General features: G+C 40.8%; 1 protein-coding gene across 4 annotated transcripts in view, besides 1 other annotated feature; it reads right to left on the minus strand.

Annotated features, from left to right (window-relative positions):
* Window positions 1-27,043, minus strand: part of PDE11A (phosphodiesterase 11A) — a 485,096-nt gene that overhangs the window by 125,963 nt on the left and 332,090 nt on the right. For all 4 annotated transcript variants that reach the window (NM_001077197.2, NM_016953.4, NM_001077358.2 and 1 more), the window contains one exon: window positions 20,117-20,167. In NM_001077197.2, the coding sequence (NP_001070665.1) occupies window positions 20,117-20,167 (51 nt within the window). The remainder of the gene's footprint in view (window positions 1-20,116; window positions 20,168-27,043) is intronic.
* Window positions 14,535-14,829: a silencer, noted in NCBI's record as "tiled region #15369; K562 Repressive DNase unmatched - State 12:CtcfO". NCBI's record gives its function as "represses a minimal TATA promoter and a strong SV40 promoter by Sharpr-MPRA in K562 cells {active_cell/tissue: K562}" and the evidence as "EXISTENCE:reporter gene assay evidence [ECO:0000049][PMID:27701403]".

Raw genomic sequence — 27,043 nt, forward strand, 5'->3', positions numbered from 1 at the left:
TTGTTTGTTTGTTTTGTGAGAGAGGGTCTCTCACACTCTGTTGCCCAGGCTGGAGAGTACAGTGGCACAATCATAGTTCATTGTAACCTCAGACTGTTGGGATCAAGCAACCCTCCTGCCTTGGCCTCATAAAGTGCTGGGATTACAGGCATGAGCCACTGTAGGAGCTAATATTCTAACTCTTTTTTGTTGTTTTTATACTTTCTTTATATATTGTCCTTTTTTATACTTTCTTCCCAGAGGTTAACAAACATTAGATTTATATTTCAGTCAGGTTAAGTATGTCCAAAGTTATTCTTTCCTTTCTGGGTAGTGATTGTGAGATTAAGAAGCTAGTTTGCTTTGCTATTTTCTATGGCTACTGTCGGTGGGCCATACTCCAGCCAACTTTCTCAGGCAAATCTAACACCACAGCTCCCCAGACAACTAAGAGTTGTTTAATGATTAAATTAAGATAACACATGTAATCTGGCATATAGTAAGTGCTCAACTAATGATAGTAATAATGGTAATACAAATTATTATTATTATTTTCATTATACCTAACTTGAATAATTTCTAAGGCCCTTGGCATGGAGTATGGTCACTAGTTTAGTTTAACATGATTTAGAAATTGCTCATGGTTATATATTACCAACTACAAATGGAAAAATGACATTGTTGGAAAGGGAGTAAGTCAGATATTCAGGGAATATGTAGGCTCATATTAGGAAGGGAAGATGCAGGCTCAAAGAGCTCCCTTCTCAGATCCTGAAAACTAGAGTTTGGGTTTCATTTACAACAGTACATAATCTCAGCTGCACATAAGAAACCTTGCCACTTCTGCTCAGTAAAATACAAATCACTGACTACCCGTTTTTATTTTAGGCAGTTAGATAGTTAGTACATCGTTAATTTCTGCACATACTCAAGCTCAATATCATTGTCAGTTCGGTTTTATTTCCACCTCCTTTCAGAGATCCCTGGCTGGAGGTAAAGACTTGCTCTCTGAGTGTCTCTGGGTATACTAAGGCAATATGAATCTTTAGGAGCTCCCCTTCTTTGGGGGCAATTTATAACTCAAAACAGCAACAAATTTTCTTTTCAGGGTGGAAATACTGACAATAAAAAATGAAGCAGCTTTGAAATATACATTACTGTAATTAAAGTGACTTGCTCTTTGGAAATTCCTGAGATAAGTCTTTATTGCAACTATTATTTAATGATGAGCATAATAATTAAAGGCTCATTCTTGAAATAGTATCAGTGCCAGGATCTGGATGGTCCTGCAGCATTTCAGATTACAGAACATGGCCACTGGTGGATGCCTCAGCTCAAGATTCTCTCTGCCTTTCTTTTGACAATGTGAGGCCAAGGCCAAGTCCAAGGCAAGCATGTGCTTAGACTGGTGTTCCCTAGTACACTGTTATAGAAGCCACCAGCTGATGGGCTTTGTAAAAGGTGTGGTCAAAACTGGCTGGGTGAAGTTAGTACTCTACCATTTGAGGCACAATGCCCACAAGGGTATAAAGTATCAGAAATTGTACAGTAAAGGCACCTGTTTAACTTTATTTAATATAGCATTTAAAAAAATTATTTGAGTACCAAAACACTTTTTGTGGCCATGTGGTACATCTATTAATATTCTGTGGAGCAGTGTTCTATGAGATACCAGTTTGGGAAATATTAGCTAGACCTGTGCTTTTCATTCCTAGCTCTATTACAGAATCGCCTGGGGGCTTAAAAAGTATATCAATTCTGGCCCACTGCCCAACATTTTTTAAATTGGTCTGGGGTGACATCCAGGTATTGGTATTATTTTCAAAGGCTCCCTTCCCTAGCCAAGTCTAATGTCCAGCCAGAGCTGAGAGCCACTGACAGAAGCCTCTCACTTATGCATCCCAATTATCCCCTTTCTAATGCATAGAGTCATAGTGAGTAAGAAAAAAAAAAAAAAGCTCTCCAAAGCTCTGATGTGTCTGAGAAAGAAGCTTTTCCTGGGGTCAGATCTGGATCTACTCACTGATCTTGGAGTTTTAGCTGATATGTGGATTTGCCTGTTCATGGACTTACTTCCTATCACACTTCCTTCTCCTTGGTGGTTGTCATTTTCAGCAGGAAGGGACAGGCTGCCTGCTCCACCCAGAACCTTTCCTGAAAACCTACACCTGCCACTATACCAACTTTATGTAAATGACTAATAGCGCTTCCTCACAAAAAATGATGAGAACCTCTGTTGTAGGTAAACATTCCAAGACTTTATCTACAATTTATGAAAGCCTTTCTCCCATTGAGCTGGCAGGTCCTGGAAGCCCCAGAAATGTCCATATCATTAGTGCAGTTTCCCTGGGAAGTGGGAGCTGGGGAAGAAGCCTGGGAGGTGGAGCCTCAGAAAGCTGTGTCTAATGCAGATTTCTAGCTTTAAATTTGTTCCTTGTGTCTGAGATTTTCTAGAGTTTTACTGGAAGAGAAAACCCATTTCTCCTCCCCTTTAAATAAGAAACAAAAATTTACTGATTAAGCAAGACCAAAGAGAAAAATGAGATGACTTTATAGACTCATTTTATAATATTCTAAACAAATGAGATTCATCTTATTTAAGAGTACAGGAGAAACAGGCATTTAATATTTATTGAGCATCTACAATGTGCTAGGATACATACAGGTTTTTTCATATTTCCATCTTATTTAATCCTGACACAACCCCTTGAGGTGATTCTTCTGTTCTCATTTTTGTGACTGTGGAAAGGGAAGCCCAAAGGGGTTAAGGTGTTGCCTACAGTGGGACGTGAGACAGAGCTGGGACTTGAACCCACGTCTAGTGATGGTGATGGCCAAACCAGAGCCAGATGAGCCAGTTCCCCACCTCTGCAGCGCTCACCACGAGAAAAAGAATGTGAAAAACTCCAGCCTGAGATCAGTGACCTGTTGAGAGCTCAGGTTTTTCATCCGGCCTGCATCGTGACTCTCAGTGTATTTCATATCATCTCCAAAATAGTATCTGAATTTTATACGCATATTCTCTTCAATGTTCTACTCTGGGCTTTGAAACAGAAGAAGGGTTAATGCTGTGGTGAAATGTGGCCTGTCCTGCTCCCTGGGTTCTTCTTTCATTACTCAAAAAATACGTAGGTTTCAGGGTAGACTCTTATAATGGTAACAACATGAGCTTTGGATTAGACCTGGATTTAAATCTTATACTGTGATTACTAATTCTGTGACCTTCCGTGACTTATTTTACCTCCTTAGGCTTCAGTCTTTTCATCCATAAAATGAGGTAATAATAACATTTGTCTCATAGAGTTGTGAATAAACAAGATTATAACTCAGGTCTCCTGAATTTACTTTCCATTAGACGCATATACCCAAACATGTAAAAGATCGAAATGTTTCACAGCTTTCCAAGGCTTATCATCTGTGAAGCTCAGGTAGATTTGCAAGTTCGGGTTTATTTATCAATTCATTAATTCAGTCATCAATGTATTGCTTTAGTCATTCAACAAATGTTTTATTGAGTGCCTACTATGTGTCAGGCATTTTGTTAGTCACCGGAGATAATAGCAATTTTCAAGTAGCTTAGAGTCTAACTAAGGCAAATCTGACTGTATCATTATTTATACCCATTAGAGGTTCACAGGAATGATATTCACTCACTAATTTGTTAATGCGAGTCTGCAGAATTAACATGCATGTAATAGTATTCAATCTAAGTTAATATGTTTGCCCATTGTTGATTATCATAACTGTTAGTTATAGTTAATTTCCAATCTGTCTAGCTCTCTGGAAAAGCAAAAAGCACCTTCCCTCCATTTTGCTGCTCTGAACTGGGAAAGAGCAGATGCCCAGGTGAATGGCAGTGAAGAACGTATATTCAGTGAGCTCTTACAAATCAAACTGTTTGCCCTGAATTAGGCTCAAGTCCACAACTAATGACAACTAATGTATGGATTCCTGGCATTGAAGCATTTGGAGTTTAACTGTTTGTTGTCATTGAAAGTGAATGCCTTTCCAACATGTAGCCTGAAGTGCTGAGAGGGCAGATCCTCAGCTAGGACCGAATGTCAGTAATTTAATCATTTATTTTTTCTTGTCTGTTTTATGACATGTTCTTTTCAGAGCATTCCCTAGTTGCTTTGATTCACATATACATTCCATCAATATTAATTTTCTGTGTTATAGTAACAACAAAAGAGTAAAACCAGAAAGAGGAAAACCTTATTTTTCCCTATGAATAGCCCAGGTCCACATGAAGGAGAAATTAGAGTAGACAGGTGGCACTGCAGCCTGTTATTCAAGGCCCAGGCAACCCTGACTAGTTCCTTCGTTCTCTCCTTTGCTTTTTTCTGAGGAAGAAAAATCAGCCTGAAGAGTCAAGCAGAATGACGAACTTTTTAAGGGCAAGATAATTCACAGGATCAGTTAGTGATAGAGTAACTTTGGGGACTTGCTTTGCATTTAGAATACCCACCCTATATGGCATGTTAGTCCTAGCAGAGAGAGGCTTGCTTCCACACCAAAAGCCCTAATTCACTTTCCACGGAGGCCCTCCCCATCCCTCAGCAGCACTTCCCTTTATCAGGCAGATAAGATTGGGGGGGCCAACATCTATCTTGTATGCATCCTATGACACTGCAGATGAAAACTACCTGCCCTGGTGTGGTGTCACATTTTTTACATTTGATTTTTATGGATGAAAGCATTGCTTCATCTGATACTTATAAAATACCACATTTGCCACTGAGAGGCTTCTGTGTCCAAATATCTGCCCCGCCCCCCATGTCTAATCTTGATCTTCACAGCTGAGGCCCATCTGGATCATCCTCCTTTCCAGCTGACAGTGAGAGAGCCAATGAAATGCCTTTTCCTGTTGCTGGGTGACTGCGAATATTTTGAAAACAAGTTCCTTAAAGGCAGCAGCTTCAAAGCCTGCCATTGGCTGGCTAGGCATACTGTGCAATGCTGACGCATGAAGGCTGGCAGAGGAGTGACAGTTGGGAAGAGCTACGCAAATATATTACTGGCCTGATGGTCCACTGGAGGGAAAGACTATTTCAAGGCTGAGTGACAACTATAACATACCCTGTCAGAAGAAAAATAAATCTCCCTGAGTCTACATTCAGGCATCTGAAGAACATTGCAGAAAATACTGCAGACAAAAAAAATGCAAAAACAAAAAACAAAAAACAAAAAAACTCAAGGTTGTCCTACCCTCAGATCTCCTGCTTTTTATGGTCTGATGAGCAGTTCTTCCTGTTCAAGAAATATATGGGTATTTCCACATACTTTGGTAGAATTTGTGTTCATACATTTTAAAGCCCAAGCTTGTTTATTTGGAAAATAATTTTCAACAAAGTCATGGAAGATTTTCTTTGCTTCCTTGTCTCCAGCGTCCCTTCCTTCACCTTCCTCCCCTGACCTTCAAGTCCAAAAATCCAGCAGGCACAGTATGCGGTCAGTGTCAGGGGCAGCATTGGCTGCATTTTATCTCACTCTGTCCACTTAAAATATTTGCATCCTGGTGGGAGGATAAGCACAGTCCTGTCTAAACAGCCTTGGGGTTCAGCTTTGCAGCTGGAGAGAGCTGTTTGGATACAAGTAACTGCTTTTGCTAACACCGGGTTAACTGTTCACACACAAATCTGCCAACGAGCCTCTAGGAAGGAATGTCCTTCTACTAATTGAATTCTAATGAGGCCAGGAAGTAGATTAGGAATTGAGCTATTTTACTATGAGTTTCAAATATCAGATCTAGGGATGTTTGGCCTGTCTGATCTCCTTAATTCTCCAGCAGGTCCCAATAAATTCATGAAGAAATGACTAGAAGAAATCTGTGGGTTATTGGTTGATCCAGTTGCAGGGGGCTTTTCTATATATCAGAGACTACAGTGTTCAAACACAAGAGAAAGAGGCTGATCTGAGATGACCTGATGGGCTAGTCATTAGTGAGGAGTTCCTGGACCAATTTAATTGGCATGTCCCTGGAAGTTATATTTATTTGCCTTATAATATTTGGGTAAGTTTGAGAGCCAAATCAGGGTGAGCATCAGTGGGGTCACCCCTGATTCTACTTAGTTGTGGAAATAGAAATGCTTTAAGGACATAGTAGAACATTCTTTTCAATAATGCTATATAGCCAACATCACTTGTGGAACCACTTCAGCAGACAGAGCGATCACTTGTGGGTGTCACCCAGTTTCTAGACATTACGAAGAGGCTCTTGTGAGCATCTTGCCTGTATCCCAGGAAATGCCTGCCTGCCATAAAAGAGGGCATGGGGTCATGCAAAAGTTACCTGCATGTACTGTGAAGGACAGCTATGATACCATCCACCAGGTACCTCTTTCCTTTCTAGAACTGGCCCTCCTTCTGCTGCGACCCCATGTTTCCACCTGGATTTGATTTTTCCAACTGACACACTTTCCTAAGCACACACTCCTCATCACAGTTGACTGGTCCAGGGATGGACAGGGGAACCAAGTGGGCCAAGCGGACCAATCAGAAAATGTCCCTGATATTTTCCAAACTGGAACTTGGGACTCCATAGTTCCCTTCTAGAAGGGGTTGCTGAAAGATGAGAAACCCAGGCTCTGCCAGAGGCCACTTTTACCCCTTTGTAGAGCAAGCCAGTCTGCAGTGAGTACCCAAGGGCTCCATGTGCAATGTGAGGCTTTTCATATTTGGCCCAAGGGGCCACCTGGGTGCTTAGTGGAGAGTCACAGCAGCCAGCCCCAGGAATCACCAAGTGGCTCTGAGGGTAGCAGATGGTTTTGCAGGAGCCCATTCTGTGGGGCAGGGTTTCCTTTTGGTGTGCACTACGCTCTCATTTGTAACACTTCCTGGGAAGACTTTGGGCTTTTACATACTATATAGAGGAAGGAGATTTTACATCTGGGACCTTGGGGCCATTTCAACCCTGCCTTCCCACTAATGAATTTACCACACAATAAGAGAAAGAGTTCCTGTTGGGAGAGAAGCTTGTTTGCACCCCAGGTCAGACAGGGCCACTGCTAACACTAGAATAGTGGGCCCCTGGTCTTTCAGGGGTTATCAAAATAACCAGCTTTTGCCCTCACACACAACTCCTCAGAGAACCGGAGTAAAGCTGTTTTCAAGAAGACCACTGATGGTTTAAAAGATATTTCAGGCAGAAGCATAAATTTCTTCATGGTTTTAAAGGGAAAGAAATTCCCTTTAAATTCATATTGGAGAAATGTCATCACAGAAAGCCTCTCACTCTCTTCTCGTTCATTTCTGAATTCTAAATCTTTTCTGTTGGTGGTGAGGGGAAGAGTAAAAAGTGGTTTTCCTCAAAAGCCAGCTTCAGTGGTTTACGGAGTTGTTTGACAAACTTAAGCCCAAGTGTTGAGGACGGCCACCTGTTCCCACAGAAATCACAAAGCTTGGTTTTCACAGAACTCGTCTCCATCTCCAGGAAGGCCAGAGGTGAATTATAGTATGTGTTAGGAAAATGAACCTAGTAGCAAGAGGAATGGGATCACTCAGCACAGGAATTGTTTGAAATTTGCCCTTTGGAGAAAATAAGTGCTGTTAGCGCCCACAAACATGTCCCTTGAAGTTGATATTCTAGAATGTTGAAGGCTAAGGAATCATACCTGCTCAAGCAATGGGGCTGGATTACTTTTCAAACTATGTAACCTTAAAACAAACAAACGAACACATAAACAAACCAAAACATTCTTAGCAAGGTCTGTTGAAACCTGAACCCATCTATCGAGAAAGTAAACCAAGATTATTCAAGGGCTCACAATCAGACGATAAGGAGGGTCAAGCCAAGACGAGAAGAATCTCAAACAAAACGCATTCCATGACATTTCAAAAAGGATCTTACAAATTCAGCATGCCCACCCATATCTCAATTTCTTAATGTGTGCAATGTAGTTACCTGGGCGTTTCTCTTTGTACCTCAGTTTTATCATCTGTAAAATAAGAAAAATAATAGTAGGGTTTTTGTGAAGACTAAATAAATTAATACAGGTAAGGCACCAAAAACTGGCCTGGCAGCTGGTAAAATGTTCAGTAAATGTTTATTTTCCAGATGACTGTCACATGGAGTAGACTGAGCATATACTGGGGCCCAAGAAAAGGGCCTCAGCAGCATGAACCAAGGTCTCCAAACTGGCAGTGTAACATCTCTCTTAGCTGCCTGATCCTTAAATGGGATAGAGCCGCTGATGCCTCCTTCAGAGGCTTGCTGTTAACATTCAATGAAATAAGAGCTATGAAAGCACTTAGAATCAGCAAAAATGCTGTGGTTATCATAGCATTTGTCTTAGTGAACAGCAATATTTGAAAATGTATAATGATTGGTATCATGTTATCCTACAGAAAGCCCAGGAAATGTATTTTAAAGTCCGTCCACTTGTAGATGCTTAACAACAGAACAGTATTTAAGCCTCTTATCCCTGGATAGGTTGAACAGAGCCTCGCTGTAAGTTCTTACCAGCCCTTCTCAGACTCTCACCTTTCGTGGGTGTGGATTTGATTATAGTGAGTGTAAAGAAGTACCTGTGGATGCTGCTCTGGGAAGGCTTTCAGAGCCAGTATGAGGCCAGATGCTGGGGCCCCCAGCCTGGGGGGATGAGGTGAAATCTGTTTTGAACTTAGATCCCTTCTACCATGTGGTCTTATAGAAACGATTCTAGAGTTTTCTGTTACAGTGGGACTGTAACAGACTTGCAGTTTTTATTAAAATTCTGACTTGTTCACAGCCTAATTCCTTTTAGTCTCAATGAAATGCTTTAGGCCCTGGATGGAAACATCATCCTGAATTACATGACAGTCTTAGAATATTCTCTGTGGAGGCAAGGCACGGTGGCTCACTCCTGTAATCCTGTAATCCCAGCACTTTCGGAGGCCGAAGTGGGTGGATCACAAGGTCAGGAGATCGAGACCATCCTGGCTAACACGGTGAAACCCCATCTCTACTAAAAAAAAAAAAAAATTAGCCAGGCATGGTGGCAGGCGCCTGTAGTCCCAGCTACTCGGGAGGCTGAGGCAGGAGAATAGCATGAACCCGGGATGCGGAGCTTGCAGTGAGCCGAGATGGCGCCATTGCACTCCAGCCTGGGTGAGAGTGCAAGACTCCGTCTCAAAAAAAAAAAAAAAAAAAAAAAGAATATTCAAAGAACATTCTCTGTGGCTATCAAATCCAAAGACAGAAAAATCCTGCACAGATGTTGTGTATTGACTATAGATGTTCTGATATCTGGCTAAGGTGGTGTCTTTGTGAACGTTATGAATTGCTTCTAGGGAAGCGAAAAGCACCTCAACAGAGCTACCATTTCACCAACATGCAGTATTCTGGGGAAAAGGAAGAGAAGGAGTGCCTGATGGCTCTATCAGCTCTGGCAAGGAAATGAATGCATTGAAGGAATAGAGTGCAGGCACACAGACAGCGAGGCTCAAATCTCCTGGCTGCATGCATGCTGCAATTACACACCACAATAAAAAGAATTAATGTAGCATCTGACCTGCTGACCTCCAGATGCCTACTGCACCACCTCATCAACAATCCCCAGACCTCCACGGTGCCTCCTTGGCCACCCGCCGGCTGCCTCACTGGGATACAGCAAGCACAAGGGCCTTACACAGGCTTTGTTCTTAAGGCTAAACCAAAGGGGAGAGTCCCCCAGTCCCTCCACCTCGTGCCTGGGCAAATGAATAAGCTGTCCATGTCACTAACATATTCCAGGTCATGCGTACACACAAACATTATTATATCTCGATATTACTTTTAAATTACTGTCTCTGGGGTTTTAGCCATTTTCCTAGAAATGTGGCTCAGCAAATCCTTACGTGGAGCAAGGATGGCACCCAGTGGCCAAAGTGCTTCATCTCAGACCCTGTTTTCTCAGGGATTTTCCATTTGCTTCTCTCTTTGGAGACAATGAATTGCCATGAGATCCTTTTGTAAAGCCAGAGTTGAAACTCCAAATCATATGACTATCCCGTTAAGTTGGAGCACGTGCACACACACACACACACACACACACACACGCACACACAAATGGAAACAGTATCAGGAGCTAATTCAGAATAGCTAAAATTTCTGAAAAATCTTTAAAATTTACCTTGAGAGTTTTATGTTAAAATCATCATATTTCAGATGTGCAGATTACCATCCATGATGTTCCCAATATCAAGTATCACTATAGGAAATATTATAAAAAATGCAAGCCCAGTCTCACATTCTTCACTTCATATTCCCCCAAATAGTCTCTAGTTCATAAGTGCTCATGCCTTAAACATAAGACTTTATCACCTGACAAGTGCTTTATCATGAAACTGATGTTTGCAATCTCATATCCTTGTTATCTTTCGTACAAGGTACTTGGCAGGCCTGGAGAGCACAGGATAATAGAGTGGGACTACTCTTTTTCCTTTGAGCTTTCCAGATGTCAAGAGATTTTGATACAGCTAGATAGCCAATCAGACTGTAAGGAAGACAGGCGAGATGTCAGAATAATGAACCATATACTCTCTTGCTAAGAATGATGCAATGTCTCCATAATGTTTCTGTTTCCAATTTCCTTAGGTTCCCAAGTAATCTAAAACCCCAGGGCAAAAAGTCACATGGATAGTACAACCACAATACAAAAAGAAGTTTCTAATAAAACAACATTACGTATTAATTGCCCAAAGAGTACCATAAACAGTCTTACTAAAAGTCAATATGTTGAGTTCAGCCAACAATTCTGTCTTTCTCAGACGTCATTACCATTCATGCTTATTTGACCCCCAAAATGTCAAAATGCCACCAAGATTTCAAGAATAATAGCTGAATCAAAAGAAATGACTTAAAAATGAAACTCCATGACATTGCTTCCATTTTCCTACTCCGCCACTTGAAGAACAGCATTGTCTTCAGGAACAGACAAAACATTGCAGAAGAAAAACCAAAGCAGAGGGGTTCCATTTTTCTTGCTGGTTCTTTGATCCTTAGTTGCCTTCTACATAAAATGGAGATATGCTAACCCTGCCCTCACCAAGACTTTGTGAGCCTCAAGTGAGATAATGGACATGTACCTGTTTTTATACACTGCAATTTCTTAGTACTTAAGACATTTTTCTTATTTAAACATTTATAGGTAGCATTAGTGTATAGTTTTTATACTGATGAGATTGAGACTCTTGTTTTACCCACGTAATCACACATCTTCCTCATGAGTATTATTATATTATATTACCTTTCAAATATAATATAGTCATGGGGGCTTTGGAAATTACTTATATGTAATTAAATCAAGCTGAGCTATCTTGAACAGAGCTTGAATTAAAAAATTTGAGTATGCGAAAATCATAAAAACCCCTAAATGTTTTGTCAACATTTATGTTGTTTTATGTTTTATTTTCCCCTTTCTTCCTAGAGATAAATTTTATAGGTTCATAAAATTATAGCATTTTTTAGCTAGAGATGGCTTTGTTTTGCAGATGAGGAAACCTGGAGCCTAGAAATTGAAATTAACCAAAAGGTCTGGTGGTTACTTTGTCTTTTTATACACTTGCTTGCTCTTGTCTTACTGTGTCCATGGTCTTACAAAGACTGTTAAAAGGGCAGATCTGGCTACAGAGACTGCAGAAAACCCTTCAGCCAGACATTGTCTCCTAACTTCCTATTTCATAGGGTGTCTTGAGACCAAGAGAATTATGATTCACAAACACTTAAAAGATTTTGGATGAATCCATTTCCAAATGAGGAAAAATAGGAAGAACAGCCAAACCAGAGCATGATTTCAAAAACAGGAAAGACAGACTATAGAACTATATAAAATAGTAAATACAAATACAAATAACAAAGCATTAGGTGTTTTGAAGGTCAAAAAAATAGGTTTAAAAAAATTTAGTCAGCAGGGTGGTGGTAGGAGGATACATGAATGAAGAAACGTATTTAGTAGTAAAGAGATTGCTGAATCAACTAAGAGTTAAAGGGCAAGGGGCTTTTGCCTCCAGCGGGGAAGAGAGACACTATCATTACAGCACACTCCAAAGAGGATAGGAGTACCTATCCTAAACAAAGAAAACGAATCCCTTTATTTTCATATAGTTTAGGGTGCACAGGACAACAACCAGGAACATAAAAACAAGGGGTTTCAAACAGCATAAAGCAAGGATTGGGGTGAAATTGTCAGAAATTTCCATCGTCATAGGTCCCTGCTTCAAAATTCCACCCAAGCATTATAAGTTCTTTTGCCATAAAAATGGCGAACATTTCAAGGAATTTGGTCACAAGGTAGAAATTTCTCCAGCACCCAGGTGCAAGGCATGGCTTTAGGTGATATAAGGGTTACCAAATGAGTAAGTCAAGGATTCTCTCCTAAAAATGCAACTGCTTTAATCATTTGAGTAGACAGGTGCACCAAGATTTATATTGCAAGGTAGAAAGTGATGAATATGGTAGGAAGAAAGGCAAATGAGAAGGTCACTTTTGACTGAAGGACAGCAGGAATGACTTCATGGAGAAAGGGGCAGTTGAGAAGGGTCAGGTAGATTGTTAGCGATTTATATATACAGATAGGGAGAAGGATGGGTGCAAACATATAAAAGGACAGGGAATGGGCAGAAAACACCAAGTAGAACTATTTGGTTAAGGATAGCTCAGTGGGAGCATGGGAAACAGGCTGGAAAAGTGAGCTGAAAGTTAGAGTTTGGAATACTTTTAATGTCCAATTAAATAATTCGAATTGAAAGAATCTAGAGGCTTCTAGAAGATACTAAACTTTGTGAGCTGGAACCTACACCAACAGAAGAGTTCATCTGTTCATCTGTTAGCTGTGCACAGGATGGATCTCGGATAGGGTCAACAGCAGGAGGCGGGAACCCAGCTAGGAAAGCAGTGTACAATAATGGCCTGCCTGAAGGAGAATGAGGATCTGAACTAGTGAGGGCTGTGAGGATGGACAGGAGCAGGAGATGTTTGGAAGGCAGAATGGACGGGACTGCATGTGGGGGCGGGCAGTGATGAGGACCCCATGATGACTGTACAATGATAGCCAAAGTGTGCAACTGGAGATTGAGGGCTACAGAAGCCCAACAGCCAGGAGGTCGTAGCTCTGTGCACACTGAACGAACAGTAGAGGGAAGGCCACCCATTGTGATGGCTAACCCAAGCCCCTCTCACTGAAGTGAGGGACTACGTGTTCTTCATTTCCTGGCGTCACAGCTAGAGTTATCAATGGATCTAATTAGAGGAAAACTAAAAAGAAGATAAAGTGATACAGTCCCAGATGCGCTAGTGTTCTGGAAGGTTCTGATGACTTTAACCTCTCCAGTTCCCTTCACAGTTCAGGAGTCAGGGATCTCACTGGGCCACACTGTTGCTCTCCACTGGACCTTCAGGACTTGTCGCCGCTTTGTTCCTAGCGCTCTGAAACAAAAATGAGCCCTCCTTTGTTTCACTGCCTCAAGTTCAGACTTCCTGCGCCTTCCCGTGTGACACTTAGGGAATGCAGTGAATTCTGCTGTGCTAACATGGGGGAGGGAGAAGGTGGGAGAAAATCCTCCAGGCCCGCTCTTCCTCCCAGGGAAAGGAGATGCTCACAGTGATCTTCTGGGGAGAGTGTCCTCGCTTTGTTTTCAAATAGAAAGAAGTGACAAATAGTGGCTGCTGAAGTTGATGTGAGGGGAGGTCAGGGTCACCACAGGATGTATTTTGGTCAGGCGGGTCCTTGAAGGGCCCTCAATACCTAGCCGCTTAGCTCAGCAGGAGGGAAGACGAGCCTGGGCTTGCAGATCTGGTTCCCCTCATGCTCAGCACCCACTCCCCCGCCCTCCGCCACTATCTTCAATACTCAAGAGTGACAAAGTACAACCATCCTTTTTCTGATGTGGCATTTGATTAAGACACAATTCATACAGACAGCCGGACATTTGAACGCGAAGCACTCCGCATATTTATGGATGCGTCCTGAGCAGTGCAAGCCGCCCGGCTCGGCTGCTGCTTGTGAGCAGGAGATGCCCTTTAGGGTGCTGATGCAGCTGTTTCCTCTGCAGTCAATTTCCTGGTGAAGGTTCAATAACTTTCTCTGACGATAAAAAAAAAACTCGGATATTAAACTTGACATAAATACTATTTAAAGTCAAAACAACTTCCTAAATTCCAAAGGCGGGCACAGAAGAGGAGACAGCATAGGCTAGGTAACGAATTCCTTCTATATAGCTTCGAGGTAATCTTTTAAACAACCTTAGAAATGACCCGAGATGCACTGGAAAGCCACTGTTGGGATTTCAGAAGGTAGCATTTCAGGAAGGCCATGAGAACTGAGACTGTAGATAAACAAGACAAAGCTCCTGCCCTCTTTCTGGTACCCAGAAGTCCTGCTTTATCCCCGGCTGTGGAGGAGCCTCTATGGGTCATCTGCCCTGAGGGGGAGGAGCTGGAGGTGCCCCTACCGATGGGGTGGGTAGTAAGCTCCCGGCCTCTGCCACCCCGCTGCTGTCCATGGGACTCAGGTCTACCCCTCTTCCTCTTCGGCGTTCTCTGTGTCGCCTGAGTTTGGGTAAATGCCATGGTGTTACCCTCTGTCTGCATAGTGCACTCCGCCTCTGCAAGGGGCTGCTGCAAGAATTGGGCTCTTCCAGGGCTTCGGAAATTGATTGCACAGGGCGGTGGCTAGCGCGTGTAGTGCCTTTGTGGCAATTGGAGAAAGGAGCGCCACCTGGTGGATCAACTACTAAAAGGCACTCCATGCACTTGGCCAGCCAAGAGAAGGGGGGCAGCCCTGCACCCGCCTGCTGTGCAAGGGGCCCTAGTGCAGGGCATAAGGCAGACACATCTCCTGGCATAGCTGTAAAGGCAGTCTTGAGGGCTGAAGCTTCTTATTATACACTATTTCATGGATTAAAGTGTCTTATCAAATCTAATTTTTTTTAAGCCTAGTAAATCACATCCTATTGCTCAGTCTGCAAAGGAGGTCATAAGATCCTATTTTTGATGCAGTCATTCTTATTTCAGTATATAAATGCCACAAGGAGTACCTATTCTTGGTACTTTATTTTATTTTATTTTATTTACTAGGATATTAATTTGTGGCCTAGTCATTAACATTGAAAACTTGAAATATGTATGAGGTAGTCCAAACCCAAACCCCAACCTGAGTTACTGGTGCTTAATTACTGAGGCAGTTACAGTGCTGTAAATGAGTTCATCTCTGATTGCAGCCGTAACCCATGCAGTGCTCAATTGAAGGAAGGGATGATACAAGGTGGCAATATAACACCACAACATCCATGAGTTGATTTTAATTGGTAAACTGGCAATATATAGTGAGAATTGTTTGGTCTGTCCACCGCATTGCAATTTAAGGAAAGTCCATAAAATTACAGGAGCATATAATTGGGGTACTAAACTCATTTTCTTATGTTATCACAGCTGGCATCTTTAGGTTATTGAAAGCCTTTAAACCAGCCATCTTCAAGGAGATGTAATTGTCAATGTGGTCTTTATACATTATTCCTGTTAGCACAGAGCTGCAGAGATAAAAACAGTCACTAAAATATGCACAAATTTTCTGTATATAACTTTCTTATTTCAAGTTCATGGAAGATCAGTAAATGTTAATGAGGATTAAAAACCATTTTTTAGATCCTGGTTTCCTCATTAGATGCACAGGGCAATCAACCCATAAAGGATAATTTATTGATACTACAACCTGAATCAGACTTTTGAAATAGTTAATTCATTAGTTCCAGGAAGTTCTGTGATCTTTTTGTGTATAGGTGAAGCTGCAAGAAAGACTGTTTCTTGAAGTATAAATGATATATCAGAATCAGGAAAAATAAACCCAAATTCTGACATTCTTGGATGAGTAATTATATGTTGTTTTATCTATTTATTCTGGCTGCACAGTCCAAGGACACTTCTAGAAAGGTTTTCACACTCTAATCCCATTCTCCCACCCATCACTACTACATGCTCCTCAAGGAAATTTTTCCCAACAGAAGTAATAGGGTTATCAGAACAAAACAGAACAACAACACTCTCCCTAACAAGGCATTCTAGAATAGGGGGAGAAAATCCCAAAACATAAAGGAGTATGAAACAGAAAGACCAGATATGAGGAAGGGTAAGATGGCATCAGCCTAGCATTAATGATTATTAAAAGATTCACTACAGGTTTATCTTATGTGAAATCAATCTTCCTTTAGGCCCCACAATCTCTGAGTACAAATGGTACAAACTAAGAGTAATTAATGGTGTATATATCACATTCTCCAATAGTACAGAGTCTCCATCTCTCCTACTTATTTTTGGGAGTCCTCAGGGTGTACCTTACCTGCCTTAAAATGTGACCACTGAGCCTGCATTGATTCCATCGATGCCATCAGCTTCTGCTGGTCACACAGGTAGGAAGGGGCCCTGCCACGGGTCCGTAGTGATGCTTCCTTCATTAGGCTGCTGCCTTCTGTTAGCACACTGACCCATTCTATCGGGAGCATTTGATGCACTGAAACCATACCAAAGCTCATGCCTTCTGTGTTTACTCACGTTCTGAGCTGAGAACATGGATCCATGGGAGGCTGAGGTGAGGGATAAATCCAAGGTACAAACTACATGCTGAACTTGGAATCATCTAGACACTGAGGTCCATGGCCTTAACTTTCATGAGGAAGAGTTCTTGACTCAGAAGGCCTGTTAGTCTCTCATGTAAATAACTACAACTAGCTTGTCTCCCAGACATTTCTGCATCCCAGATGTGGTGCAACTTGGGTTCCAACTGAAGTCTGTCATATTTACGTATGTAAAATTTGACCTCCAGATTTTTGTCAGCATTGGATGAATCAGTTTCTTCCCAAACTCTGGCTTAAGCTCTGAATCACTGATCACTAGTCTGGTCGGGTATAATCCAATACACTGGGACTCAGCCATCCTTTAACTCAGTGGTCTCCATGCTTTTTGGCGCCAGGGACCAGTTTCATGGAAGACAATTTTTCCATGGACCTGGGAGGGGTGGGGGTGTGGGAATGGTTTTGGAATAAAATTGTTCTACCTCATATCATCAGGCATTGGATTCTCATAAGGAGCACGCAACCTAGATCCCTCACATGTGCAGTTCACAATAGGGTTTGCACTCCTATGAGAATCTAATGCCACTGCTGATCTGACAGGAGGCGGAGCTCAGGTGGTAATATTTGCACGCCTGCTGCTCACCTCCTGCTGTGTGGCCTGGTACCAGTCCATGGGCTGGGTTAAGGACCCCTTCTTTAACTCATGAAATCTCACGGATAACTGATTCCAGACTTCAAATCATTGCACACTTAAAAAAACTTTTTTACAATCATGTTTGTTAAAAAAGTACTGCAGGTAGGAAGAATGACAATACACTTGAACGTAAACATGGTTTGTCATATATATTGGTCAAAACAAAGCATGTATTTACTATTATTTAGCTACAATGTTAGAAAACTGCCATTGCACATACTCCAGCCTGGAATTTCAGTAAACGCTTTTCACTGTCTATGTGCAGGATTATGTTAAGCCCACTACATTTTAATGTTATTGCTGCAGTTATAACAGACATCAACTACCAATTAGAATAATGTTTTATTTACTGTCTATATCAAGAAAAATCCCATTTTAAAATGGTTAAAATGATCTACTATATCTCAGTTACATTGTAATAGGATACTAGCTAATATCTGTCATGATAAAATCTGGAGTAAATCAGTTAAATTATTAATCTTGATAATTTTAAGATAAAATAACCCTTTGTTCTCAAATTTAAAAACTTCATATTTTAATATATTTGTGAGCTAACAATAGAAATGCATACCAAATTCCAGGACAATGTTTTCTTTAAGCAAAAAATTAAGCCTGAATGTTGGTGCCTTTAGAAAGTAAACAGCTAGGCCAGGCATGGTGGCTCATGCCTGTAATCCCAGAATTTCGGGAGGCTGAGGCAGGCAGACCACAAGGTCAGGAGTTCGGGACCAACCTGACCAACATGGTGAAACCCCGTCTCTACTAAAAATACAAAAATTAGCAGGGCATGGTGATGCGCGCCTGTAATCCCTGCTACTTGGGAGGCTGAAGCAGGAGAATCACTTGAACCCGGGAGGTGGAGGTTGCAGTAAGCTGAGACTGTGCCACTGCATTCCAGCCTGGGTGACAAAGAGCAAGACTCTGTCTCAAAAAAAAAAAGTAAACAACTATGGATTTTGGCCTGCTATATCTCTGGGCAGCTCTTGCAGTCATATCTAGTCATATGAGTCAAAGCTCATATTATCATCTTTGCTGTCTTTCTTCTTGCCTACCCCACCCTCTTTTAGCAATGATGATAATTATAACAACAGCAAAAATATAATATAAACATTACATTAGCATTTTAGCAGGAACTGGATATTTTCATAAATAGGATTCCTAAATAATTGAACTTTATTGGCTAACATTAAAAAGCTTAAATATTTTTGATGGAAAATGTATAAAATTTACATACATTAAGTAAAATTTATATGAAATATATAAAATAATTATATATTATCACCGTTTTAAAATTTTCTTAATGACCAACTGCTTCGAGTTCTAGAACCATTGGTGCTCTTCAGATGTATTTATTCATTCACTTTTCCATTCATTCATTCATCCATTCAACAAGTATCTATTGAGTGTTACTATGTCCCAAGGACCAAAAAAGGCAGGAGAGATACAGCAGTGAATAAAACACAATTAGTGCTGTCCTGATGGAGCTTGAGTTCAAGCTGGTATGCAGGATGTTTTCCTCTGCAACAAATGGGCCCTGACTGCTGTGGTTTTAGTTGTTCTGTCTCCTCCCTCTGCTGTCAGCTGTCACCTCTTGGTGGCACCCTATCTCTCCCTTTTTATCTGGGTTACAATTGCAGGTCTTTCCCCAAAGCATCTCTCTATGTCAATAATAGACCCTATCCTTGGATGGAGCCTGAGCAGTTCCTATGCTTGCAGTGTATGTGCTGCTTCCGGCCCTTGCGAGGAGTTCTTTTATCCCTACTCTCAGTGTTTGGAACAAACATCTTCCTTTGCTCCCTTTCATCATTCATGCGCTTGTGTTTGGAACAAACATCTTCCTTTGCTCCCTTTCATCATTCATGCGCTTGTGTTTGGAACAAACATCTTCCTTTGCTCCCTTTTGTCATTCAAGTGCTCAGTTCTAATGATCTGATTCAATTCTTAGGCCCAATGGTCTCTGCACCATATATATGCAAATGGGACTCTTAGAAAAGTGTCCATCACCAAGTGATATTACATTCTAATATTGCAGTATAAAACATGATCTTTCTCATCACTGTGGTAGCTTTTCCTGATAATTTTCTGAACTGCCACCTAAATATAAAAAGGCAGGCACCAAAACTTTCAAAAGGAAAGGAAATCAATTTCCCTTTACTCCCGTGTTTTGCTCATTGCTAAAACTGCCTGGTAGGAGTGCAGGGACACAAGCAGGAATTCTGAATTGCACTTAAGGAAATGGTAGTAACTAAGGTGATAAGGAATATCTAACACTCATTCATAGACTCATCAGATGTTGGAGTTGAAAGGGGATCACTCTGTGCGGTAGTGAAGCATGGTGGTTAAGAACTCCAGTTCTGGGACCAGATTGTCATACGTCTTACAATTGTTTGACCTTGGCCTGGCATCTCCATGCTTCAATTTATTCATCTGTAAAATAGTATGTTTTTCACAGGATTGTGAGGATTAAATGAATTAATGCAGGTAAAACGCTTGGTAGTGTGTCTGGCACACAGCAAGCACTTAGTGTTAGCTATTATTATCCCAATCTCGTCACATATTTTTACAGATGGAAATACAGCCCTAAGCTTTTAACTGAACAGCAAGTTAGAGGTAAAACTGATGCCAAAACCGGGTGTCCTGATTCTCACCATATTATAGACTTTTTTTTCCCTGATATCGTGCTTTCTTAATAAATGGGAAGAAATACTGAATCATGTACATGATTATAAAATGACTACTCAGTTATACAAAAGTCCTTCTTCCCCTCTAAAACAGAAATATAAAAATACACCTTTGCCCAGTGCTAGTCCTCCAGCTCCCAATGGGCAGGATTAATTCTCTAGAGGCATGTGACAGAGCTCAGGAGGCCAGGAGAAGTTTAACTGTATGCACTAATAAGGAAACCATTTTCTTCCTTACCTTAAACTTGTCAACTTCAGCTTTTGAACATGTTGCATGGTATGATAGCACCTGATTCAGAAGAAAAAAAAATAATTTTAATAACTAGACATGACTGTATTTTCTGAAATTCTCCTGGCTTAAAAATAAGCTTTGCTTATGTATATCACCTTGATTTAAAGGTGGACTTTAATGTATGACAAGAAACAACATGTCTAATAACATTCTCTGACATAATTCACATATTAAAGAATATTTTATACCGGGATTTTTCTATGGGTAGTTATGTCATCAAAAGGACAATGGCCAGGTGCAGTGCTTCGCGCCTGTAATCCCAGCATTTGGGAGGGCAAGATGGGCAGATCACTTGAGCCCAGGAATTTGAGACCAGCCTGGGCAACATGGCGAAACCTTGTCTCTACAAAAAATTCAAAAACTAGCTGGGCATGGTGGTGTGTGTCTGTAGTCCCAGCTATTCAGGGAGGCTGAGATGGGAGGATCACCTGAGCCCAGGAGGTCGAGGCTGCAGTGAGCTGAGATCATGCCACTGCACTCCAGCCTGGGCGACAGAGTAAGACCCTATCAAAAAAAAAAAAAAAAAAAAAAAGGCATGCTGTGGCTCAAAACTGTAGTTCCCAAAGGATGTGAATACTTGTCCTGTGAAATGCTCTACAAGCAAATGAAAAGCTAGAGCATGTGTGTGCGATCTGTAGCAAACACTGTAGGTTGATGACTCAACTTCCATTTCCTCACCTATTCTCATTTGCCTGCTTTTATTATATTAGGAAAGATTATATTGATATATATCTGTGACCCCTTTTGTAAGAGGATTGTGCTTCCCTGCCCTATTGACATCAGCATTGGCATATGACTTCTTTTGGTCAATGGGAAAAGTAACAAATGCCCTTTTGAGTGTGTCTTCAACAGCAATCACATAGTTCTGCCACCTCCTTTTTCCCTCCACCAAGGGAAGGGCATGGCCTGAGAGGGGCCGATCCTTCAGTCTGAGCCCCCAAATAAAGAAGATATATTGAGTAGAACTGCAGCCAACCTGCAGCTGATGGCATGTCATTTGAGTGAGAATCAACTTTTGCAATTTATCTACATCATAACTCACTGACACAGAGGCTTAAAAGTTAAAAACCCCAATTCGCAGGCTCCCTGCAGCTGGGGTGGTCCTATAGGGTGGCCTTTATGACACGGCCTTGGTCAATGAATTATAAGTGGGAGTGTCGGCGCTGCTTCTTTCTTTTTCTTCCTTCATGGAATACAGCTGTAAAGCCTGGAGGTGCAGCAAAATCTGGTGTGTATGAGGTGACAAGCATGGCAGTGAATGCCAGCTTGCTGTGAACAGAACAGAAAGGGAAAGAGAAAGGACCCTGGGCTCCCCTGCCCCAGAATTCTTGTTGTGTGAGACAAATAAATGCACATTGGTGGCATTTTATAAGGCATATTTACAGACATATACACACTCACACATAAATAGCATATGTATGTTATATGTTTTATGCTGCCAGACACATGTTTGTTGTGGTTTTGTTTTTGAGACAGGTCTCACTCTATTGCACAGGCTAGAGTGCAGTAGTGTGATCATAGCTCACTGAAGCCTTGACCTCCTGAGCTCAAGCGATTCTCTCACCTCAGCATCCCAAGTAGCTGCGACCACAGGCATACACCACTATGCTCAACTAATTTTTGTATTGTTTTGTAGAGACAGGTGTCTCATCATGTTTTCCAGGCTGGTCTGAAACTCCTGGGTTCAAGCGATCCTCCCGCCTCAGCCTCCCAAAGTGCTGGGATTATAGGCATGAGCCTTCGCACCCAGCCTACATTCTTAATCTACACAAATCTCAAACAAATAAGTCTGGGAAATGCTAACTCCTTCTTCACCTACAAACCTTAGAGAATCACAGTGCATATTTGGCTGCAAAAAGTAAAGTAACATGCTTTATTTCATTAAACTTAGTATTTCCCAAATTTAATTAGCCACAGAACTCCCTTTTAGGTAACATTAAACTGGTAACATTCAACCTAATAACCTATTGACCAAGAACTTTGAGAAGCACTGACCTATGGCACATACCATTTGTGTGATACAAGCAAAGCCACAATGGAAGCAGTGTCTCAGGGTGGTTAGAACACAGCCTTCAGAGTCAGGCTGCCACGCCTCCACTTCCGAGCCCTGGGAGCTTGGGCAAGTGGTTTAATCTCTTTGGGTCTCATTTATAAGGTGGTATAACATAATACTACACAGGCATCTCCTGCTTAACGTAGAGGCTCCTCCTGAAAACACTAACAAGGAGTCTACTTTTAATTATTTTTAATTGGAAAAAAATTACAGTGTATTATAAGATCTGCAGCAACTTCTTAAAACTCAACTAAAGCACAGTAAAATTCATAGGTATATTTAAAACAAAAAATACAGTTATGTTATAGTTACTTAAAATGTTACTTTCTGTGGGAGGCTGAGGCGGGCAGATCACCTGAGGTGAGGAGTTCAATACCAGCCTGGCCAACATGATGAAACCCCACCTCTACAAAAATAGAAAAATTAGCTGGGCATGATGATGGGTGCCTGTAATCCCAGCTACTTGGGAGGCTGAGGCGGGAGAATCGCTTGAACCCGGGAGGCGGAGGTTGCAGTGAGCCGAGATCGTGCCATTGCACTACAGTCTGGGTGACAGAGTGAGACTCTGTCTCAATAAATAAATAAATAAATAAATAAATAAAAATAATGCTACTTTCTGATCATAACTAATATAGTTATTAACAAAAAGTTTCTTTGTGTTAAGTAATACTTTCTCTTCCATTGTAGACTTTTTTTTACTGAGTTTACTTGTTTTTCCATAGTTTTCTCAATCCTTTTTTATCTTTGGGAGGGGACTCAGAAAAATGTTGTATTGAGAGATAAATATGTTCTATGAGGTTTGGTTATTAAAAATAAAGATATATTCTACTGGGAAATTTTAACCAAGGAAATATTCTATGGAGTGGGCCTGTACTTTACAGAGTTCTTAGGAAGATTAAATGCAATACTACATGTAAAATAATGTGGCACACAAATAGCCAACTTATAGGTATTGTATTAATATTCAATTAAAATTCTACCAAATAAATATTTGGCTGGATATTATGTTATGTCATTATCTTATCTTAAAATATCAATAGGTATTTCAGTGCACAGATGAATTGATTTTGCTCTTTTGTTTCAGTTTTACTGTGGTAAAATTTAATTTGGCTGTCATTTTATTAGAATTTCTTACTGTTTTCAAGTCTATTTCTGCAGATTCACTCTTCAAACTTTACCTTTAAAAAATAACCCACAAAAACTCAAGCTGCAATTCAAAATCTATGCCACCAGGTGGTGCTTAGTTAGGTTTGTTTAAATCAACTCTTCCCACTTCCTTTATTTAAAAAAAAAAAAAAGCTATTTACTCCACTAAATTGAAACAATTTGAAACAGTGAAGCAGACAATTATTACAGATTAAGACTTTTGCTCATTTAAAATTACAATAGTTTGTTTTGTTTGTTATTGAGTTGTAGGAGTTCTTTGTATATTTTGGATTCAAGTCCTCTGTCAGACATATGTTTCATAAATATTACCTCCAGTCTATGGCTTGTCTATTAATTTTCTTTTAATGTGTCTTTTAATAAACAGAAGTTTTAAATTTTGATAAAGTGTAATTTGTCAATTATTTAAATTGCTATCGTTTCACATATTATTTCTTTCTTTTTTTTTGAAGAGTCTCACTCTATCACTCAGGCTGGAGTACAGTGGCATGATTTCAGCTCACTGCAGCCTTGACCTCCCTGGCTCAAGTGATCCTCCCACCTCAGCCTCCCAAGTAGCTGGGATTACAGGAACACACCACCACGCCCAGGTAATTTTTTTATAGAAACAGGGTTTCACTATGTGGCCCAGGCTGGTCTTGAACTCCTGGATTCAAACAATTCTCCCTCCCAAAGTGTTGTGATTACAGGCATGAGCCACTGTGCTCAATCTCACATATCCTTTCTAAAATTTTTTTACTGCCCCCGAGTTGTGAATATATACCTCATGCTGTCTTCTACAAACTTTATAGTTTTATCTTTTATGTTTAGGTCTATGATACATCTGAAATTAAATGTATGTACAGTTAAAGAATAAGACCTTAACGAAATAAATACATGCTTTGGTTACTTTTTCATGATTCTTAAATTTCATGGGCCACATCTTAGACCTAAAGCTTTTTTGGATTGTATCCTGAGATTTTAAGCCTCTACTGGCTAATCTATTAAGTACATAGGAATTTATTTATTCTACCTAATTAGACAAAGTTAATGATAAGGAAGCTTCTGGTTTACCTTCTGGATCTTCTTGTTTCTGAGAGTTCCTGTTTGTAGGACTCCAAGAACCAGTAGAGGGGGGAGAGAAATGGTCTAGCTAAAGAATCTTTCAACTACCTTTTCCCAGAAGAGTACAATCCATGTTGGTGAGCAGGGAGGAATCATCGGCTAATAGGAGTACATTGTTCTGAAGGACTGGGCCCTATTGCTAAACCACAGTCCAGGAAGATGGTAGCATTGTTCCCTCTAAGAATCCGTAGAAAAACCAACAAGCCAGAGGAGTGGATTCCTTAAGATAAGAGACCCTTAAATCTTGCTTAAGAACTCTGATTTTCTTCTTTAAGCAGTTCCTTCTGTTTGGTCCCATAGGATTTTCTGGGATGCATTCAGAAAGATGGTGGTGCTTCAGTTTACCCTCAGTGTTTGCAGGTTTTACACACAGGGCACAGCGAGAACCCAGTAATATCTGTACCTCTTTCATGTATTGTATCAATTTAGCCATCATGCGATTCTGACTGGATGTAAATACACAACCAAGCTAAGTTTCTGCTTAGCTCCCAGCTTCTTGTTGAAAAGCCTGTGACCAAATGTATTTGCCTTGCTAATTTTAACAAGCATCTACACATGCTATTGTGGTCACATAGGACTTTTCCCCATCACCTATGGTCACTGGCCATATCCCATTTACTCCTCAATATGCCTCAGTTTTGGTTCTGCCCCCACCTCTCCACTGGAACAGCTCGTGTCAAGGCTTTCAATTTCTTGCCAACAAATCCATTGATGAATCTCCAATTGCCTTTTGCAGCAGTATTAAACTTGGGAGAGCACTCACTCCTATTTTGAAAAGTCTCCTTTCTGGGCTTCCATGACACCACATTATTTTGGTTTTCATCCTATTTCTTTGGCTGCTCTTTATGTTTTCTTTTTTGGCCCCTCATCCTCTACCTTAACTGTAAATGTGGAAGCTTCTAGGCTCAGTCTCTTCTTCAGTGATGCCATACACTCTCATGGCTTTATACACCATCGTTGTGTTGATAACTTTCAAATCTCTTTGAGTTTTGCACTCACATATTCGTCTGCCTACATTACTAACTTCCAACTTGGTCAATTCACTGGCTTTTCAAATTTAACACGTCTAAATAAACATGAAGATTTTCCCATATGTGATAGACAGAATAATGCTCCCCCACAAGATGTCCATGTCCTAATCACTGGAATCTGTGTATATGATATGTCACAAGGAGGAACTGAGGTTGCAGATGGAATTAAGATTGCTAATCTTGTCACCTTGAGATGGATTATCTTGGATTATCTGGCTTTGCTTCATGTAATCACAGGGGTCCTTATAAGTGAAAGAAGGAGACAGGAGAATGAGAGTGATGCAATGTAAGAAAGACTTGACTAGCCATTGCTAACTTTGAAATGGAAGGGGCCACGAGCACAGAATGCAGGTAGGTTTTCTGTGGAAAAGGCAAGGAAATGGATTGTCCCCTAGAGTCTCCAGAAGAATGTAGCCTTACATACATCTTGAATTTTGCCCAGTAAGACCCATTTCAGACATCTGACCTGAGGATTGTAAGATAATAAGTATGTGTTGTTTTAATCCACTAAGATCGTGGTAATTCGTTACAGCAGCCACAGGAAACTAATATACCACACAAACCCATTTCTCTCTCAGTCTTCCCCAGCTCTGTAAGTGCCACTCCATCCAATCAATTAGTATCAATTGGATACTAATCCAGTCTCCTTGGTACACATCAGCCAGAGTGATCTTTAAAAAGTAGAAATCAAATCATGCCATCTCCCAGCTGAAAAGTCACCAGTGGCTTCCCACTGCACTTTTGCTGTATTTCCTTCAATGGCATCCACAGATTGGTCACAAATCTCAGGTTCATGAGGTTAGGTCCAAAGCCTGGATCGTGACTGGACAGGTCCTGCACCATCTGACTGTTGGCACGTTCTCAAACTAAACTTCGTGCTGCCTGTGCTCTGTCTTCTACACACTTGGCCACACTCATTTTTGTTCATTTTTGTTCATTTATACACCAAGCGCTTTTCTACCTCAGAGCTTCCCTGTCCTCATCACCTCATTGGTATCATCTTCTGAAACTAAGTTAAATGTCACCCCTTCAGTGACTTATTCCCTGACCACCATGAGAAATCAGCCTCTGTTAACTCCATTATTCTCTGAGTTAAGTGGCTGTTTCCTTCATGCCACTTGCACAATTGGAGTTGCCTGTTATCTTATTCATCACCTGCCTCCCCTACTAGACTGTAAGCACTTTGAAGGCAAGGATTGGTCTAGTTTTGGTCATGAAGGTATATCCTATCCCTGGGAGTATGGTTGATACTTAGTTGGCACTTAGTAAATATTTAATGAATCAAGGAATAAAAAATAAAAACATTTTAAAACAGTATCTCCATTACCCATATGTCTCACTGTTTGTATTATTAATGGCCTGAATTAGTGTATTTTTTTCAATGAAATCATGATATGCCTTATATATGAGCATAAAGTAAGCAATGTAGGTAGGATCACCAGTTTTAGCAAATAAAAATAGAGGACACCCACAGTTAAACTTGAATTTCAGATCAGCAATAAATATTTTCACTATTTGTGT

The sequence above is a fragment of the Homo sapiens genome, chromosome 2 (genome assembly GCF_000001405.40).
Source record: "Homo sapiens chromosome 2, GRCh38.p14 Primary Assembly".
NCBI lineage: Eukaryota > Metazoa > Chordata > Mammalia > Primates > Hominidae > Homo > Homo sapiens.